The sequence below is a fragment of the Homo sapiens genome, chromosome 13 (assembly GCF_000001405.40).
Source record: "Homo sapiens chromosome 13, GRCh38.p14 Primary Assembly".
Classification (NCBI taxonomy): Eukaryota; Metazoa; Chordata; class Mammalia; order Primates; family Hominidae; genus Homo; species Homo sapiens.
In genome coordinates, this window is record NC_000013.11 from 45,523,259 (window position 1) to 45,541,189 (window position 17,931).

Sequence of the window (17,931 nt, forward strand, 5' to 3'; positions counted from 1 at the left end):
ATTCCCTCTGAAGTGTTGTTAATTTCTTCAGTAACACTATAAACTTAAATTTTTTTTCTTGATCTAGTGCATGTAATGGAGTTTGATCTGTAAGTTTAATTCCTGCTCTCAAGGAGGTATAACCTAAAGGGAAATTAAGATAGAAAAATAGGTAAACATGAAACTGTATACAGCAATGTTATTGTGAGACGATGGGTCTTTGTTCATTGTGTAGGAATTTTTAAAAAGATGGGGCTTCACTTGACTAGCCTTAAAAAAATGAGGCTGATTGGGGAAAACTTTTGAAGCAAATGCTCTTTGAGGTTTGACTTAAAGATAAGTAAACTATCTGGATAGTAAATAGAGATTAATATACTAGTTTATATTTGTTTTTAACATAAAAATACTTGTGCGAAACCTAAATCTATGTTATGAAATTGGTTAAATTCTGGAGCAATCAGTGCAACAGTAGGCAGCCATTACTATTAAAACAAAACTGTTGGATATGGGAAAATGACCAGAATGTAGATTTAGTGGGGAAAAAAGTTCACAGAACACTGTTCCCAGATTTGTAAATGTATACACATTAGTATATTTATATTTTTACAACGGAAAATATTTTGGATAACATACACTAAAATGTGAATGTATTTTTCTTTTAGCAGTGTCTAGTATCTATAATATATATGATTCATTTTTTAAAGTGCACCTCAAAAAATAAAGATATGAAGAGGGATGGAGTGAGAGGAGGAAAGAGGTGATTTTATACAGGTAGGCAGTATGAGCAAAGGCCTAGAGTGGTCCAGGAGGAGAAATAGAAACTAGAAATAAAGGGGAGGCTGAAGAGATCCAAGTCAACATTATACCCTGTGTCTGCCCATTATACCCTGTGTCTGCCTAAATGTTTGTATGGCCTTTTGTCTGAGAAATCTAGAGCTGTTGCTCGGGCTTTTCTAATGAGACTTTCCCGTGAGGCCAAAGCCATGGACTGCACCTTTGGCACATGACTGTCTATTTTAAAACACGTTTTATGCAGTTTCTCTCTCTTACCCTCCCCAGCTACCCCATAGCTCCACCACAGCTTACTGTCTTAGAAACAGTCTTGTTCAAGCAGCTAAGTGCCCTTTTTTGGATCCACTTCTCTATACTGCTGCTAAGGAATGAAAAGAGATGACTAGAAGATGGTCATTCAGGTCTATCTTTAGCACTGATTGGTCAGTCATATGTGACTTTTTGATGGTATTTGAAAATCTTATTTGTTTGTTTTAATGACATTCTCTCTGCCTGTGATATAAGAAAAATGATCCTCCATATGTAAAGGAGATTTTATCCAGCTAGGGTGACATTTTTCTAATTACATACAAAAATAATTTAATATTGACGTAACAGTCCCCTTAAGAGACACCTGTTTTGTGTTGACATTTCTCTAGGGCTTCATTTTTGTCTTCCTAGTGGGAAGTATTTCAGATAGAATGCCTCAGGACTTAGGTATGATTTTTAGCAAGATAACCATATGCCTTGAAATCACAAAAGAAGTTTTACTAAAAACGTTGATTACTTGTAAAGGATTATGAGATAATGCATTTTTTTTAGGGCTGCACATTTGATTATCATTGTGTTTTAATAGGTTTAAATGGTGTTGTGTATCCCTTGAGAGCAGTACCACCCTTGAGAGCAGTACCAGTTTAATTTGTCATTGATGAAATGAAACTTTTTTTCTTTTTGTCTCCTCTATTAGGTTTCAGCGTTAAAAACAATGGCCAGTCAGGGAGGCCCCAAGTATACTCTCTCACAGCAGCCTTGGGCACAACCAGGTATTCTGATTTGACCATTTTGGATTTCTTTTTTAGGATGTTATTAGTTTGCATTTATATAGTCCTTACTGTGACAGCTTGGAGTTGGTTTCCTATTCACTCTGGGGTGCTGCAATCTGAGTTAATGCAGGATTCAATTTGGAGCTGACAGGTCTTAATTGGTTAGCACTACTTGCATTTCAGCAAGCATTCCAAGGAAGGAAGAATTTTTTTTTTTTTAAATCACCCAGTTAAAAATAAAATATGGCTAAGATGGAAACCCTTTGAGTCTGTTGATTTCTGTACACCCACTATTCATTGTGTTCAAGCTTTGATGAAAATACTGTGGTTGATAGGAAGAAATTATGGCGAGTGTACCCACTTTCAAGTGTATGAAGAAATGTTGGGCCACTATTTTGTTCCACATTTTGTCCAAGTTATCCTCTGTTGACATTTTAGAGTATTGGGAAAAAAAATTGTAAAAATTGAGGCGTCAGTTGGGAGTTGGCAGGCAATACTATTGTCTGATTGGCAGATGTATTTGAGATGTTCCCAGTCTTACTCTTTCTTAAATGTAAATTTTTTTGTGCTGGAGGGCTTTGGGTTTTTTTTTTTTTTTTTTGGTCTTTAGCGTTAGACATTTAAAATCATGACTAACTTTGTGAGTTATTTTTGGTACCTCTTGCGGCATTTTAAATTGCCATTAAACCAGAATAAATCATTTTGTTAAATTGATATTTCTGGCCATTCTCTAGCCAATATTGTGATAGCCTTTGAAACTAAAATGGGCAAAATGATGAAAGAATGAGTGTTTTAATTATGGGTAAGCTGTGTCCAAGTTGGAGGGCAGCTTTCCACTCAGTGAGAGAGATCCAAAAAATGATTCTGGCTTTGCATCCATGAAAAATTGGCATGCACAGTCACCTAATCTGGAATCAACTTTTTAATATGATTGGTTTTCCATATTGAAAGAGCATTATATCTGTTAGGTATTCATTTTCTTTGGGAAAAAGGATTGAAGCTATTCAAAGCCTCCAAAATTTTAATTTTTTTTTTTTTTTTTTTTTTTTTTTTTTGAGATGGAGTCTTGCTCTGTTGCCCAGGCTGGAGTGCAGTGGCGTGATCTCGGCTCACTGCAACCACCTCCTGGATTTAACCAATTCTCCTGCCTCAGCCTCCCAAGTAGCTGGGATTACAGGCACCTGCCACCATGCCCAGCTAATTGTTGTATTTTTAGTAGAGACGGGGTTTTACCATGTTGGCCAGGCTGGTCTCAAACTCCTGACCTCAGGCGATCCGCCCACCTCGACCTCCCAAAATGCTGGGATTACAGGCCTGAGCCACCATGCCTGGCCTCAAAATTTTTAATTATGAATGCCTTAGGTTAACTTGAAGTTGAACTGAGAAATTAGAAGAATAGCTATGTATCACTTAGGAAGATTTGTAAATGTAGAGAATGTCAGTTGTCTTTGAAAGGAAGATAGGATTTTATTTCAAAGGTTCCTCAGGTGAACTTTGATGATGTCAATATAGGTTTGAGTTCATTTGTTTGACTGCAAATAAACTTTGTGACATACTTTAGGTGTTTCGTTTACCATGATGCAGACAAGGAACGTTCTATTGTCTTTATTATTTTAAACGTTCGTTGTGAAATACGTTGTGAAAAACGTTGTGTGTGAAATAGAAATCTTTGACATCTTACTACAAAAGCACACTTAATACAGTAGTACATTCTGTCAGAAGACAGAAAATCAGGATCTTTTACCGACAATACTGGAAATTCTAATCATAGTCTGACATAGTATTAACCACCTCTTCTGATTCCTCACAGTCAAGAGGCAGACTTATCAGTTCACAACTCAGCATACTTCTTGAAGGAATTCTGATGATTTGGGGATTAATTGGAGCCTTTGACTCAAGGTTCCAATTGCTTTTATAGGGCTTAGTTAGAAATAGGAGCTGATTTTTATTTTGAACATTTATGTAAATGAAACTCTTGGGTATGATAAATCTTTCTTAAGATTTAAAGGTAGAAACCAGTACAGCTAAGCCCAGTGTCTTGATGCATAATTAACGTATTGCTCTTTCCCCTTTGGAAAGATCCTCTCTCTCAAAATAGGGACTGTCATTTTCTCAAGTGGAACCCTAATAGGATTCAAAGTGTTAGATGTATTGTGCTCTTAAGCATTACTAGAATTTAGAATTGTCATAGTAAAGCAGGAGTAGATAAAAGGAAACTGGCAGGAGTAGACAAAAGGACAGATTGAAGTAGGACTTGCTGCTTTGTCATTTAACCCAGTTCCTTCTTTCTTAGTGAGGAGATCTTAGTGAATATAGCAATGACAGTTCAGTTTATCTTGTAGTTGTATCTTCTATCCCATTTAGGCATAGCAGAGGTGTGGAGTTGGTTTTTGTGAATCTGTAGTACTTGAAGCCCACACTTGAATGCCAAAGAGAGATTTATGGCCCCTTGGGGTGGGAGCATTGAGGACAATCTAGGAACTGTCTTGGGCCTCTCTGCTCTAAAAACTGAGGGTTACTGGTTCATTCAGACTTGGTCAAGTTCTCAGGGATCATTTCATGATCAAACAAACTCACAGGAGAGTGAGTTATAAATTAGGATGCCCATTTGTTAATTTACTCTGACGAAGAAACCTTTTTTAGGAATTAGAGGACACTTTAGTCACCAGCCTGTGCACCCACTCTCTGCTTATCAAGGGCTCTGAAGACCGATTTAGTGATCCCTGAGGTGTGTTAGTAATGATAGAACCAGGGCCCATGGAAGTAAGGGTCTTGAAGGAGCTTTCATGTATTAATGAAAAATAAGCAGTTCCTGAATTATTTATTCTTTCTTCCTGAGAATGTCAGCGGCATTTGAACCAGAGCAACTCCATCTCGAGAGAGAGCTAGGAAAAATGGGGATGGGATTTGCTGGGCTGCATTCCCAGGAGGTTAGGTATTCCTAGCCTCTAGATGTTTACATTTAATGAAACAGATTAGTAATGTTTACTAAACACACCCAGGCCCAGGAATGTCCTGATATCCTGATATCTTGAGAACAAAAGCATTCCTAATTTTGCTTTAAAGATAATAATATTGATTCTTGCAAAATATAGTAATTAAAAAAAATTAACCCTTTATCACAAGCCTTTGTAGCAGAGTACATATCCCCATGATGTTTTTTGTTATCCTATATATAAACAAGCATTGATCTAGGGTGGGCACGTTACTCCTCTTACTTTTGGGAACACCCTACTGTCTACGGAGTACCTACTCTTTCACCACTTTACTTTTTTAACAAACTTGCTTTTGCTTTATACTGTGGACTCGCCTGTATTCTTTCTTGGATGAGATCCAAGAACCCTCTCTTGGGGTCTGGATCAGGACCCCTTTCCAGTAGCAAGAGCATTGGTACTTTCTTACCCTGCTTTACTACAACCCTCCTCAATTAAAACATTGTTTTTTACATGGTATATTATTTGAACTATGAAAAGCTATAAAATGAAAAGTAATTATATTTTCTACCTCCAAACTAGTCCTTCTTTCAGAGGCAACTACTATTAAAGTTTCCTTCCCAAAATTGTTTATGTGTTTACTAGCACATGTGGACTTTAAAAATGTTACCCAAATGAGATTGTACTATACCCCTTGCTATTTCACTTCTTATATATCTTAGAGGCCTTTCTGTATAGCATATCCAACTTGATCCATTCTATTTATTGGATGCATCGAATACATCACTATAGCATGATTTCTTTTGTAATTCTTGTAATGGAAACCTAAATTATTTGCAGTTTTTGTTTTTCCTTATACTCTTAACATGTCTGTATACTCATATCTTGGTATTTTTTTAGTATATCTGCAAGTAAATTTCTAGCAGTGGAAATGCTAAAGGAAAAAGTATCTGCATTTTCAGTTTTGCTAGATAGCGCCTAATATTTTTCCAAAGAGATGAACCATCTTGTACTTCCATCAGCAGTACACAAAGATGCCTGTTTCTCCATACCCTCGTCAAACATGGATATCACAATCTTAGTAATTTTTGCCAATCATCTGTAAATATCTCACTGCTTTCATTTACATTTATTTATGAGTGAGGTTGAGCATCTTTGAAATTGTTAATAGTCTTTTTTCTTTGTAGTTTTCTAGATAACTTCTTTTAAATACTTCCTACAGATTACTACTCTCCTTTTCTATGTAACTCCTTCAGACATGACACTTGGGTTTCATAGTTATTTTTGTTATAACTTTTTGGGATTCTGTTCCCCTTCTGATAATACAGTATAAGAATATAACAAATAGATATTTAATTCCCCTTAAATATGTGTGGATATTTTCTGAATGGTCTAAGCATCTCTTACTGTGAGTCATTTCTGCAAATGAACAAACTCATTCATTATGAAGTAATTCTTACTAGTGTCTCTCTGAAAATGACTTTTTTTTTTTTAACTTTAATCTCTTACCTCCAAATTCCAAAGGTACATATTACAGCTCTTATGAATGTCCTGAAGCATGCTAGGGGAGTTATTTTGCTGCCTTAGCCCTTGGGATTAGAATTTTGTATAGTAGATATTTAATGAATGTTTATAGGGCTTATGATTAAACTTGGTAAATAAGCTATAAAAATGAAAGAAATTCTTTGGGGAAATAAAGAGTCTTTTCTTCTGCTATTTTTTTCTCCCTTTATTCCCCTTTGAATTAAAATGGAAATATTTCTTTTCTTTTTCTTTATGACACTAATGAGGTTACTTTATTTCCAGCAAAGGTCAATGACCTTGCGGCAACTGCATATAAGACAATAAAAACAAAGCTGCCTGTGACATTGAGAAGTATGTCCTTGTACCTATCCAATAAAGATACCGAGTTCATCTTGTTTAAACCTGTGAGGGTGAGTATCAGATAACTCATTTGAATGTTGGCGGGTGACTTCAAGTATTCTTTGCCTCATTTACCATTTTCCTTTTGCTGTAGACATTTAGAAATGTTGGTATACTGTTCTAGTGAAGTTGAATAATCACTATGATTCATGAAAGGCTTACAAAGTCTGCCTCTGTCTTGATTATCTTTTTTTCCCACTGTCACTTTGTCTTAAGTTTTTAATGTTACTACTGAAAGTAGAAATTAGTAAATAAACCAAAAAAAATCAGACCCTTACATTGCATGTGGCCCAGCTCTCAAGAGAGCAGCACTTCAGGAATTATGCCCCATTTTACTGGTGAGTAGTAGAAATAAATGGCTTGCAGTGGCAACCAAGGGATTAAATGTCAGAGCAAATTTAGGGCTCATAATTTCCAGCTCTGTGTTGAGCTCTTGTTCTTACCCAAGGCATGGGTTGATTTTTAAAGTATATTTTATGTGTCTAGGAACTTTGTTATCTTTTGTGTAAGAAATTGCTGCAGAAGACCCTTAAAATTATTCTCTGGGGGGACAAGGCTCGCTAGAGTTTAGTCTTCCTGGGAAGCATTATCTGATAAGTCTTCATCAGGTCATGCCAGCACTGAAATATTAAGAGCAAATTATGCGTCTTTGGTAATATCATGAAAGATACATCGCTTCCACTCGCTTTGGCAAATATCATTACAATTTAACATTCATGGTGCTTCGTGTTTAAGACAACTCATTTGATAAGATCTCCTCTCCTCCTTTCTAAGAATAATATTCAGCAAGTCTTCCAGAAGTTCCACGCTCTGTTAAAGGAAGAGTTCAGCCCTGAAGACATCCAGATCATTGCCTGTCCATCTATGGAACAGGTAATGGGTAGACTGAAGATCCTTATTACTTTTATGCCCTCTTGGTTATTTCACCTGAGTAGATAATGTCTTTGAGCAAACATATTTTTAGTATTAATTTAAAAAATATTACCTTCTTTTATTCTGATGAGTAAGAATTCAGCCTTTGAATTGTTCTCTCAAACTTTTGGGGGATAGTTTTAGAATTTTCAGTTAATCTCAGGATTAAAATTCTGTTTAATCCTTTCTGATATGAATATTGCTGTGTTTAAGAGAATGACCTGTTTGTAAAAGACTCAAATAGTGGCATTTAGCTTGCTGAATAATTTTGTTTGAAATATGCATAATAAGAGAAATACATTTTTTAAAAAAATTTTTGATTTTTCTGTAGGTTACTGGGGTACAGGTGGTATTTGGCTACACGAGTAAGTTCTTCAGTGGTGATTTGCAAGATTTTGGTGCACCCATCACCCGAGCAGTATACACTGCACCCTATTTGTAGTTTTTTAATAACTTCAAGATTGAAAACATGGAAGTTACTGAGTACCCAGTATGTATTAGGAGTAGCCTGGCGCTGTGGAGGATATTTTATATCTGGTCTTAAGTTTAGGATAGTTTAGAAATTTAGTATATGGTAAGGACTAGGAAATCTGGGGAGACTGATCAGGCTGGCAAGAGCCTGACTGGGCTGGGTAGAAACTGGGTGAATAGGACTAGGCAATGGTGAGTGTAGATAAATCTTGTGTTTTTGTTTTGTTTTGTTTTGTTTTGAAATGGAGTCTTTGTTGCCCAGGCTGGAGTTCAGTGGTGTGATCTCGGCTCACTGCAACCTCTGCCTCCCAGGTTCATGCAATTCTTGTGCCTCAGCCTCCTAAATAGCTAGGACTACAGGTGCCTGCCACCATGCCGAGCTAATTTTTGTATTTGGTAGACAGAGGGTTTCACCATGTTGGCCAGGCTGGTCTTGAACTCCTGGCCTCAAGTGATCTGCCGGCCTCAGCTTCCTAAAGTGCTGGGATTACAGTCGAGCCACCATACCCAGCCAGAATCTTTTGAGGAGTGTTACTGTAGTGGAGAGGAGAAAGATGGGGTGGTAGCCGGAGGGAGAAATGGGGTCATTTTAAAATTGAGATGTTCATATACTATAGAATTCATCTTTTTAAAGTGCAGAGTTCAATGGTTTTTAGTATATTCAGAAAGTTGTGCAGTCCTCACCACTATCTAATTAGAACATTTTCATTACTCCCCAGAAAAACCCCTTAGCCATTAGCAGATCCTGCATTTCCCCGTCTTCTTTTTGTCTCTGTGGATTTGCCTATTCTGGATATTTCATTAAATGGAATCATACAATATGTGGCCTCATATCGCTGCTTGTTTCATTCACCTAGCATGTTTTCAAGGCTCATCCGTGTTGTATGTATCAGAGCTTCCTTTTTATGGCTGTATATATTCCTTTATGTGGATAGATGGGTCACATTTTAAAAAGATATTTGTATCATTCTAGGATATTTGTACAGTCAAAATACTTCCAAATAATTTATTTGAAGTAATTACTTTCTATATGATTGTACCACTAACTCGATATATAATTGGGTTTCTTTTCAATATTTAGAGATTTTTTTTCTATTTTGATTTAATTTTGTTTCTTAATGATATAAAATACTTGCATGGTTTCCAAGTCAGAATTACAGAACAAGGTGCATTTGGAGAAGTCTTGTTCCTTTTCCGATCCCCTCCAGCCTTTCCCTTCCCTCCCCTATAGTTAACTCTTTTTATTAGTTATTGGGTTATCCTTCCATTGTTTTTTTTTTTTTTTTTTTTTTTTTTTGAGTTGGAGTCTCGCTCTGTCACCCAGGCTGGAGTGCAGTGGCGTGATCTCGGCTCACTGCAAGCTCCGCCTCCCGGGTTCATGCCATTCTCCTGCCTCAGCCTCCCAAGTAGCTGGGACTACAGGCCCCGCCAATTTTTTTTATATTTTTAGTAGAGACGGGGTTTCACCGTGTTAGCCAGGATGGTCTCGATCTGCTGACCGCGTGATCCACCCGCCTCAGCCTCCCAAAGTGCTGGGATTACAGGCGTGAGCCACCGTGCCTGGCCACATTTTTCCGTAGGGTAACTTGTTTTTTTTTAAAGATAGGAGAAAAACGCGTGTTTTTGTGTTCATGGGGGAAGATCTACAAGGAGGGGAAAATATCTTGACAATGTGGGTGGAATTTCAGGAACAGGCAGGGTGGGGCCTTTGTGAGACACACGGGGGTTCAGTCATGGTAACAGGAGGAGGCCGAGTGTATGGGCATGGATGGGGGCTGTGAATGTGGCGGGAGCTCATGGATGTGCTCTTCTGAGTGCTTCACGTTTCTGAGTGAAATAAGAAGCAAGGTCATCACCGAGAGGGAGGAGACAGGCTCGGGTGAGTTTAGTGGATATGAATCCAAGAGAGACCATTCAACTTAGTTGTCTATTTTTTTTTTCTCCAGTTATAGTCACTTGCATGAATGTAGATGTGGAGTACTTGATCATAAGATCCATTTTATGGCAGAAGACATTATTTTTGTAAGTTTAGTTTGTTATAAATTCAAACTTACAGAAAAGGTGCAAGAATAGTGTAAGGAGTGCCCATATATCCTTTACCCCATTTTCATTTTGCCCCATTTGCTTCATTTTTCTCATTTTTTCCCTTCCCTGTCCCTGAAGCCCCGCTTTTAAATAATTGGAGAGAAAGTTGGGAGACATTGTGCTCCTGTACTGCTAAATACTTCAGAGTGTATTCCTGAGAACAAGGAAATTCTCTCACTACTCCTGTATAGTTACCAAAACAGGAAACTTAACATTGATACTAGTGTCTAATTCACAGTTCATACACACATTTCATCAGAGTCCCGGTACCGTTCCTGCTGATCTTCTTGCTGACATTTCCCCAGTCCAGGTCCAGTCCCAGGTCATGCATTGCTGTCAGGTGTCATGTCTCTTTAGCTTCTTTTAACCTGGAGCAGTTAGACAGCCTTTCTTGACCTTGACAGGCCAGTTATTCCGCAGACTGTCTCTCCATTTGGTGTTGTCTCTTTCATCATGATTACATTTAGGCTTTGTACTTTGGCAGGGAAAGCACAGAGGTGATTCTGTATCCCTCTTCTGACAGCACTCATTTATAAATGACATCGGGGTGATGATCTGCATCAGCAAAACAGCTGTACTGATAGAATGGTTCACAGCCAGGTCCATTTACCCACAAGGTTCCAGGGCCTGGGTGTCAGACACCTGGAGTGCAGGCAGCCATTTCCCTCCTATCACTACTGTGACCCGGCTCTGGTGTCCCAGTCCTCCGTTACAGAGCGGGCAGGTTGCTCCTGCAGTTGGTCAGAATTGGCATGTGAGTTGAAATTCACTTGTCATGTCTGTTCTTGTGCGTTTTAAAAAGTCACTTAAAGGACAGCTTACAACTCTTCCAACAACACACTGCATAGAACAAGGCACAGTGGATTATGGAGGTATGTTTCTGTCCTTGTCAGTGTTTGTATATAGTTTTTGCCATTATTCTCATTGGATTTTAAGTGATTTGATGGCCTAGGTTTGGTGATGAAGTGTGACCCCTGACAGGGCCTCCCAATGCCAGTGCCCAGTGGCTGCCTCAGAAATAGACCAACATTGTGGGCCAGTTTCTACTTTATAGCCATGTTTACTGGTCTCATAAAAATCTTGGTCTTTTTCTCTCATTCTGTTTTTGGGGCTCTAAACAACTTTTTTTTTTTCCATTCTAATTGCTTTATTTTATTTTTCAACTTTTATTTTAGATTCAAGGGGTACATACATGCAGGTTTGTTACCTGGCTGTATTGCATGATGCTGAGGTTTTTCAACCCTTGTGGTTCCCCTCCCTCCTTGACTTTTCTTGAGGACGGTATTCCATAGGAGAACTAACATAGCTCTTAATTTTGCTTTTCAGCTGAGCCTTCTGCTGTTGGTTTCTAAATAAGCAGGCCAGCCGGGCTGTGCACCTAAATGTCTGTCTGGGAGGAGCAGGCTGAGAAGTCTTGCAGTCTGCAGGACACCGAGGAATCGTATGTGGGAACGTCCCCGAGAACCACACGAGCGTGCTGCTCAGTGCTGACTGCAGAATGAAATAGAAGCAAAGTGTTACAGGATCAGTGTTTTCTTTTCTAAAACATCAAAATGCCAAAGATTAATCTGTGATTGGTGATAACTGCCTCGTTTAAATGGTCACAAGAAATGTGAAGAGAGAGCTAGGGCAGACATGCAGTGAAATGGTTCTTTGTTAAAAATGTGCAATAAAAATAGATTACAATAAGTAGTGCAAAGAACTTTACAGAAATCAAGCGAATTAGAAGGCCTGTAAGAGTAAGGTTTGCTAAAACGTGAAACACTGTAACACTTTTAACCACTGAGCATTCCACAGTGAAATGTTATTTCTATGCTCTTATTTAATGTAATGTTTCTCCTGTCATTTTTGAAGTTGAGTTTGGAGTAGATTGGTTGCTTCTGAGAACACATTCTGCCTTCCTGGGAAGTCGGGGTGTCATCCTTTCCTCTGTTTGATGTGAGGTAGTTTAAAGATACAAGGACTTTGTGTGAAGCTCCAGCATCTGTGCCCCTTGAATTGCTTAGGTGCAGACAGTTCTAAAGCAAGGAGCTGCAGCATTCTCATCATAGATACGTGCAGTATCTTTAATGAGTATCTTCATGGTATGATAGTGTGTGTTTGTGAGTGCGAAGTACCAATTAAGGTGTCTTAAATTTGGCGCATAGAGGAGAGAAGGAAACCTGAGGAGTAGTGTTCCTCCTGAATGAAGGTTCAGGTCACCAGCCTTCTGTACACTGCCTTTGGTTTTAGCAGTTCTTTGAAAAGCAAACACTTTCATGTCCTGTCTATTCATTCAGCTGGCTGTGCTGTGCTGTGGACCAGCTGTGTGGATCTCTAGCCCAGCTACAGCAGAATACATTTTACCAGCAAACCTAAGGATGACAAACACTATCCACATCTGAAAACTACCACACCATATCAGGGATCATAAATTATGCATATCTATGAATTTTCCAACAAATTCCTACTTCCTGATTGGATTGGTTTTGCCGCTGATGTTAAGGCAGCCAGCTTCTTAGTTCAAAAAGAATTCTGAGTTTTTCAAACACTAGTCTAGAGGTGGACATTGTCAGGGGTTCTGGAATGGGACCAGGGGACCTTTTGGTGCAGTGGGTGCCTGTAACTCATTAGACGTACTGAGGCAGCACTTCTGCAGGGTGCATACCCTGATTGTTGTCATTTGTAACAGGTCACTTCCTTTTCACTCAGTTTAAATTGGTGATGGACGTTGCTTGATTGAGCTTATTACTCTCTATTTTGAGAAGGTAGAAGGTAAGAGGGCCCATATTCATTCTTTGCCATGAAATGAATGAATTAGGAAGATTGTATTTACTTAACTGTTTTTTAAATACATGTTTAATGAAATAAACTGTAAAATATCCAGTTTTGTGTATTATATGTACATTTGATTTTTAATAGCCTTTCCAAAGAAATGAGGGCATGATTATTGTACAGTAAGTACGTGACTGATTTAATTTGATTTACAGAGCGGAGTGTGTTCTTATAAAAATATTTAATGACATTGGTTCTTGTCTTTTGATCTTTTATTTCTGAAACACTCAAACACCTTACAAAGTGCTGAGTAGGTAATAGTGACCCAACTTGTTTGCTAAATGATTATTTGTTTAAATCTGTACAGTTTTAAGTGTTCACTTATACAAAGAGTGTATATACTTTCAAATAATTTAAAATGCTTTATATTATTTGGCTAGAAATTGCTGTTTTTAATAAATGTGAATTTTTTAAAAATAAAGATTTTTGCTTCCTACCTTGTCCTCACGTGTCTGATACGTGTGTGCATTCCTTGAGGAAAATTTCTTTAATTAAAATTTTAATTGAGATAACTTGTGTCAGACTCACATGCAGTTTTAAGAAATAATACAGATAGATCCCATGTACCCTTTGCCCAGCTTCCCCCCAATGGTAGCATCTTGCAAAACTATAGCACAGTATCACAGCCAGGATATTGACATTAATATACTCTATCAATCTTACTCAGATTTTGCCAGTTTTACTTGTACTGTATAAATTCCTTTGGCAAGAAAATTATTATGGAAAGACATTTTTGAAGCATCTTAATGCTTCCTTAGTTAAAAGACATTTTAACTTTTTCTTTGTGAAACTGACAATTTCATGAGTACTGTCAGCATAGTACTGACATACATAGTTGTATTGAAATTTAGTAGTATTGTATTCTTCCCTCTATTTTCCAAAAATATTTGTATTTTCTCCCCTGGCTTAACAACACCATATCTTTAAATTTTCTTCTGCTGTTACAAGTAAGACAACTTATAACTGCCAACCACGGTTGAATGTTTGGCATATACCTTCCAGATTTTTTTCTATGTATATTCTAAAATAACTTGTCTTACAAGATTGGGCCCTTTTACACATGTTAAAGGAAATCAAGTGGGTTTTCATTATTAGTGTATACAAACACACCCATACATATTCTTTTGCTGAACTATTTGAAAGGAAGTTGCAGTCATCGTGACACTTTACTGTTAAATTATACCCCTAAATAATTCAGCATCCGTTTCCAAAGAATAGGGACATTCTCCTACATAACCCAACACCATTATCACACCTAAAAAAGAAATTCAGTAGTATCTAATATGAAGTCCATATTTCAGCTTCCCTAATTGTTCCCCCAAAATGTTTCATAGCTTTTCTTTATCCTGGGTTCAACATTTTACTTGGTTGTCATGTCTCTTTACTTCCTTTTAGCTTAGACAACTACTCTTAAGAGTTTTCATATGCTTATTTTCTTGACATTGACTTTTTTTTTTTTTAAAGGAAGAGTCTAAGGCCAGCTGTCTTATAGAATGAATCACAGTCCAGATGGTCCTGTTTCCCATTAGTAAATTCAGAAACCCTAACATTGCAGGATATACCTTCTCATATACATGGAGCAGTTGCCAAGATAGATGTGCTGGGCCATAAGAAAACAAAACCAAAAAACCCAAGTATGACCTGCAGCAGTGGCAATCCCTGCCCCTGCCCCCAGCCCTGGATGTACGGCAGTATCTGAAGACATTTTGGTTGTGACTGGTGTGTGTGTGTGTTAGGGGTGGGGTATTACTGGCTTCTAGTGCGTGGAGACCAGGGATGCTGCTGAACATCCTACAGCACTGGATAGTCCCGACCACAAAGAATCATCCAGCTCTAAATGTCAGTGGAGCAGAGGTGGTGAAACCCTGCTATATAGAATAGCGAGTCCCAGTCCCCAGCACTTGCTGTTCCCCTCACCTGCATTAGTTGTCTTTGTACCTGACACATGATGTATTTTGCTTGTTTGTTTTTTGTCTTCCCCACCAACCCAGATCACAAACTCCTTGGGAAAGGAACTTTGTTTTGTTCATACGCAGCACCTAGAACAGTGTCTGCAGAAGATGCTCTATAAGTGTTGTGTGACTTTGTTGTCCAAGTCATGCAGCCTTCCCCACATCATCCCATTACTACTAAGTCCTGTGCATTTTCTATCCCAGACAGCTGTTTAGTTTTTTCCCTCTGTTTTTCCAATACCATCGCCCTGGCTAGGGATGACTTGTGTGTTGCTGAGATCCACTTGGGAGCTTCTGTCTTTGATGTGTGGTAAGGACAGGGGTTTCTGTGTACCCTGAGCATAGGTGTGGAACTAACCAGGCACTCAAACTTTGTGGCTATATAAAGGGATGCTACCACAGTAGTCATTTATGGCTCATTACCTTGCAACAAAGGAACTGTTGTTGTGTGTTAGCCGATGACAGCATTCACCAGCAAGGTGTGACTGTCAGGCCAAGGAAGTGACATGTAGCACCCTGCCTGTGACAGCCTGATTGTCCTAGTCCCAGCTCAGCTGCACAGGTGATGGTTTGGGGGTGAGGACAAAGCATTAAGTGGAGGTTGGTGGCAGACAGTGGGAGAGCCTCAGGGAGAAGGGCCATGAAGGCAGCACTTGGGTGTCACTGTTCACAGTAGAGAATGGCTAATTGCTAGAGGAAGGGTCCTCTCCCCTCTCCTTCCCTCCCCTCCCATTCCCTTTCCTTCCCTCTCCTCCCTCTCCTCTCCTCTCTTCTCTGACAGGGTCTCACTCTGTAGCGCAGGCCAGAGTGCAGTGGCATGAACACAGCTCACTGTAGCCTTGACCTCCTGGGCTCAGGTGATCCTCCCACCTCAGCCTACCAGGTAGCTGGGATTACAGGTGCACACCACCGCGCTAATTTTTTGTATTTTTTGTAGAGATGGGATTTCACTATGTGGGCCAGTCTGATCTCAAACTCTTGACCTCAAGTGATCCACCTGCCTCAGCCTCCCAAAGTGCTGGGATTCTGGGTGTGAGCCACTGCACCTGGCCTGGGGTTTTCTTTTTTCTTTCTTTCTGAGACGGGGTCTCACTCTGTCACCCAGGCTGGAGTGCAGTGGTGTGATCTTGGCTCACTGCAACCTCCCTGCCTCCTGGGCTCAGGCAATTCTTGTGCCTCAGCTTCTCGAGTAGCTGGGCTTACAGGCATGCACCACTACACCCAGCTAATTTTTGTATTTTTAGTAGAGGTGGGGTTTTGTCATATTGCCCAGACTGGTCTCTAACTCCTTGGCCTCAAGTGATCTGCCCACCTTGGCCCCCCAAATTGCTGGAATTGCAGGAGTGAGCCACTGTGCCCAGCCAGGCCTGGGGTTTTCTATACTGTCTTGGTTGACGCTGGAGCTCAGGTCATTCTGGGAAGTTTGCAGGTGTCCTGAGAGTGTATAAAATCATCCCCTGGGGGCTGCCCAGCCCAAATCTCCTATTTTTAGAAACAGCTGCCCCTACTCATGCTCTGGGATCAGCTGGGAGCCATTTACAAGACGTAATCCCACCTGCTCTTACTGCACTGGATTGGACCAAGGGTGGTCTCCTGATTTAATCAAGGCCAACTGCAGAGACCACTGGGGTGTTTTTGAGAGTGATTGGGAGACAAAGCCATGTGACCTGAGATGCGTAGAAAACGTCTCTTGGACAAGATGAGTGTCGAAGACTGAGAGGCAGAAAGATGGGGTCTGCAGCTTCTCCGCTCCAATCATTTCCGAGACCCATTGCATCTTCAGTTCGGGTCAGTGTTCTTCTCTCCAGATGACACATTTCCCCCTTTTGTTTTAGCAATTCAAGTTGGTAACTGTTACCAGTGACCCCAAGTGTCCCACCCAGTTCCTGGGAGGAGCTGGCATGTGGGTCCTTTCAGGCTCTCAGTCACCTACGGGTTTCGGGGACTGGATTTGGGCCGATGTGGGTTTGCCATCTGGGTTTCCCTCTGGCTTGGCAGGGGTGGACGAGGTGTAATGAGGTCAGGGTTGGAGAGAGCCTCTGGGGCTGTGCAGGAAGCGTGTGGGATCCAGGCAGGGTTGGAGAGAGCCTCTGGGGCCGTGCAGGAAGCGTGGGGGATCCAGGCACTGGGCCACACGTAGCCTCCCCTCTCTCAGCCTCAGGAGGAGGCGCTGTGTTCTGGGGTGGTGCCCAGAGGCTCCAACACCAGGAGGAGTGGCTGGACCCCCACAAGGCTGATGCATGATTTGTGCCAAGTCAGCAGAAGCTGACTGGCCGGGACTGGCCTCCAGAGCTCCCTGGAGTGGGGTGGAGGTGGGTAGGGGCCATGCAACAAGGTAGGATAAGGGCAGTAGCACCTGGAGTGGCCTTGAGTCTTTGAGATACCCTGGAGTGGTGGTGGTGGCAGGGTCATAAACATACTCATATTATCACCACAGTGATATCACTTTGTAGTCGAGTAGGCTGGAATACCAGTCTTTACCATCACATACTGGTGTGTGATCCTGGGCGAGTCCTTTAACCTCTCTGCATCCCAGTGTCCTTGAGAAAATACTGCCCACATCCTGGAGCCACACGAGCTACAGCTTGCACAGTGCTCACAACAGGGCCCGCCTGGTTCGTGCGCAGTCTCAGTAACAATAGGGAGCATCATGAAGAGAAAGGCCTGAGGAAGCTGAAGGGGCTGTGCCTTCGCAGCCCAAGGAAGTGCAGACACTCAGCCTACCCGATTGTCTCACAGACCCTTCCCAGGAGCTGCCCAGACGTGAAGGAAGGGCCAAGCTGACAGTAATTGGAGTGACGCTGAGTGGCTCCTATGGGCCAGACCCTGTTCTAGGGACTGTACGTGCATTATCTAATTTAATACTCCCAACTCTGTGGTGATCGTTGCTATTTTTAGGCCCATTTTACAGATGAGGAAACTGAGGTATAAAAGTACTTGCCCAAGATCACACAGCCAACAAAAGACAGAGCTTGGCTGTGAGCACAGTCGTTGTCCTGAGTCAAGGCCCGTACTGAAAGCCACAAAAGAACTGAGTGAGTGACCGTA

General features: G+C 40.4%; 1 protein-coding gene across 3 annotated transcripts in view, besides 1 other annotated feature; it reads left to right on the forward strand.

Moving 5' to 3' along the window:
* The window catches only part of COG3 (component of oligomeric golgi complex 3), a 71,763-nt gene extending 58,320 nt beyond the window's left edge, over positions 1–13,443 (forward strand). Inside the window, exons 20-24 of one of the 3 annotated variants that reach the window (XR_429222.5) lie at positions 1,718–1,793; positions 6,533–6,660; positions 7,424–7,522; positions 9,979–10,054; positions 11,444–13,443. Coding sequence is in view for 2 of the 3 variants with exons in the window: in NM_031431.4 (NP_113619.3) it covers positions 1,718–1,793; positions 6,533–6,660; positions 7,424–7,522; positions 11,444–11,473 (333 nt within the window). In the remaining variant the exon portion in view is untranslated. Of the gene's footprint in view, positions 1–1,717; positions 1,794–6,532; positions 6,661–7,423; positions 7,523–9,978; positions 10,055–11,443 lie in introns of those variants that run through there. The other 2 variants (NM_031431.4, XM_047430702.1) reach the window with 2 other exon arrangements.
* Positions 16,930–17,429: an enhancer, noted in NCBI's record as "H3K4me1 hESC enhancer chr13:46114323-46114822 (GRCh37/hg19 assembly coordinates)". NCBI's record gives its function as "activates a minimal SCP1, AML or CMV promoter by ChIP-STARR-seq in primed H9 embryonic stem cells {active_cell/tissue: H9 hESC(primed)}" and the evidence as "EXISTENCE:reporter gene assay evidence [ECO:0000049][PMID:30033119]".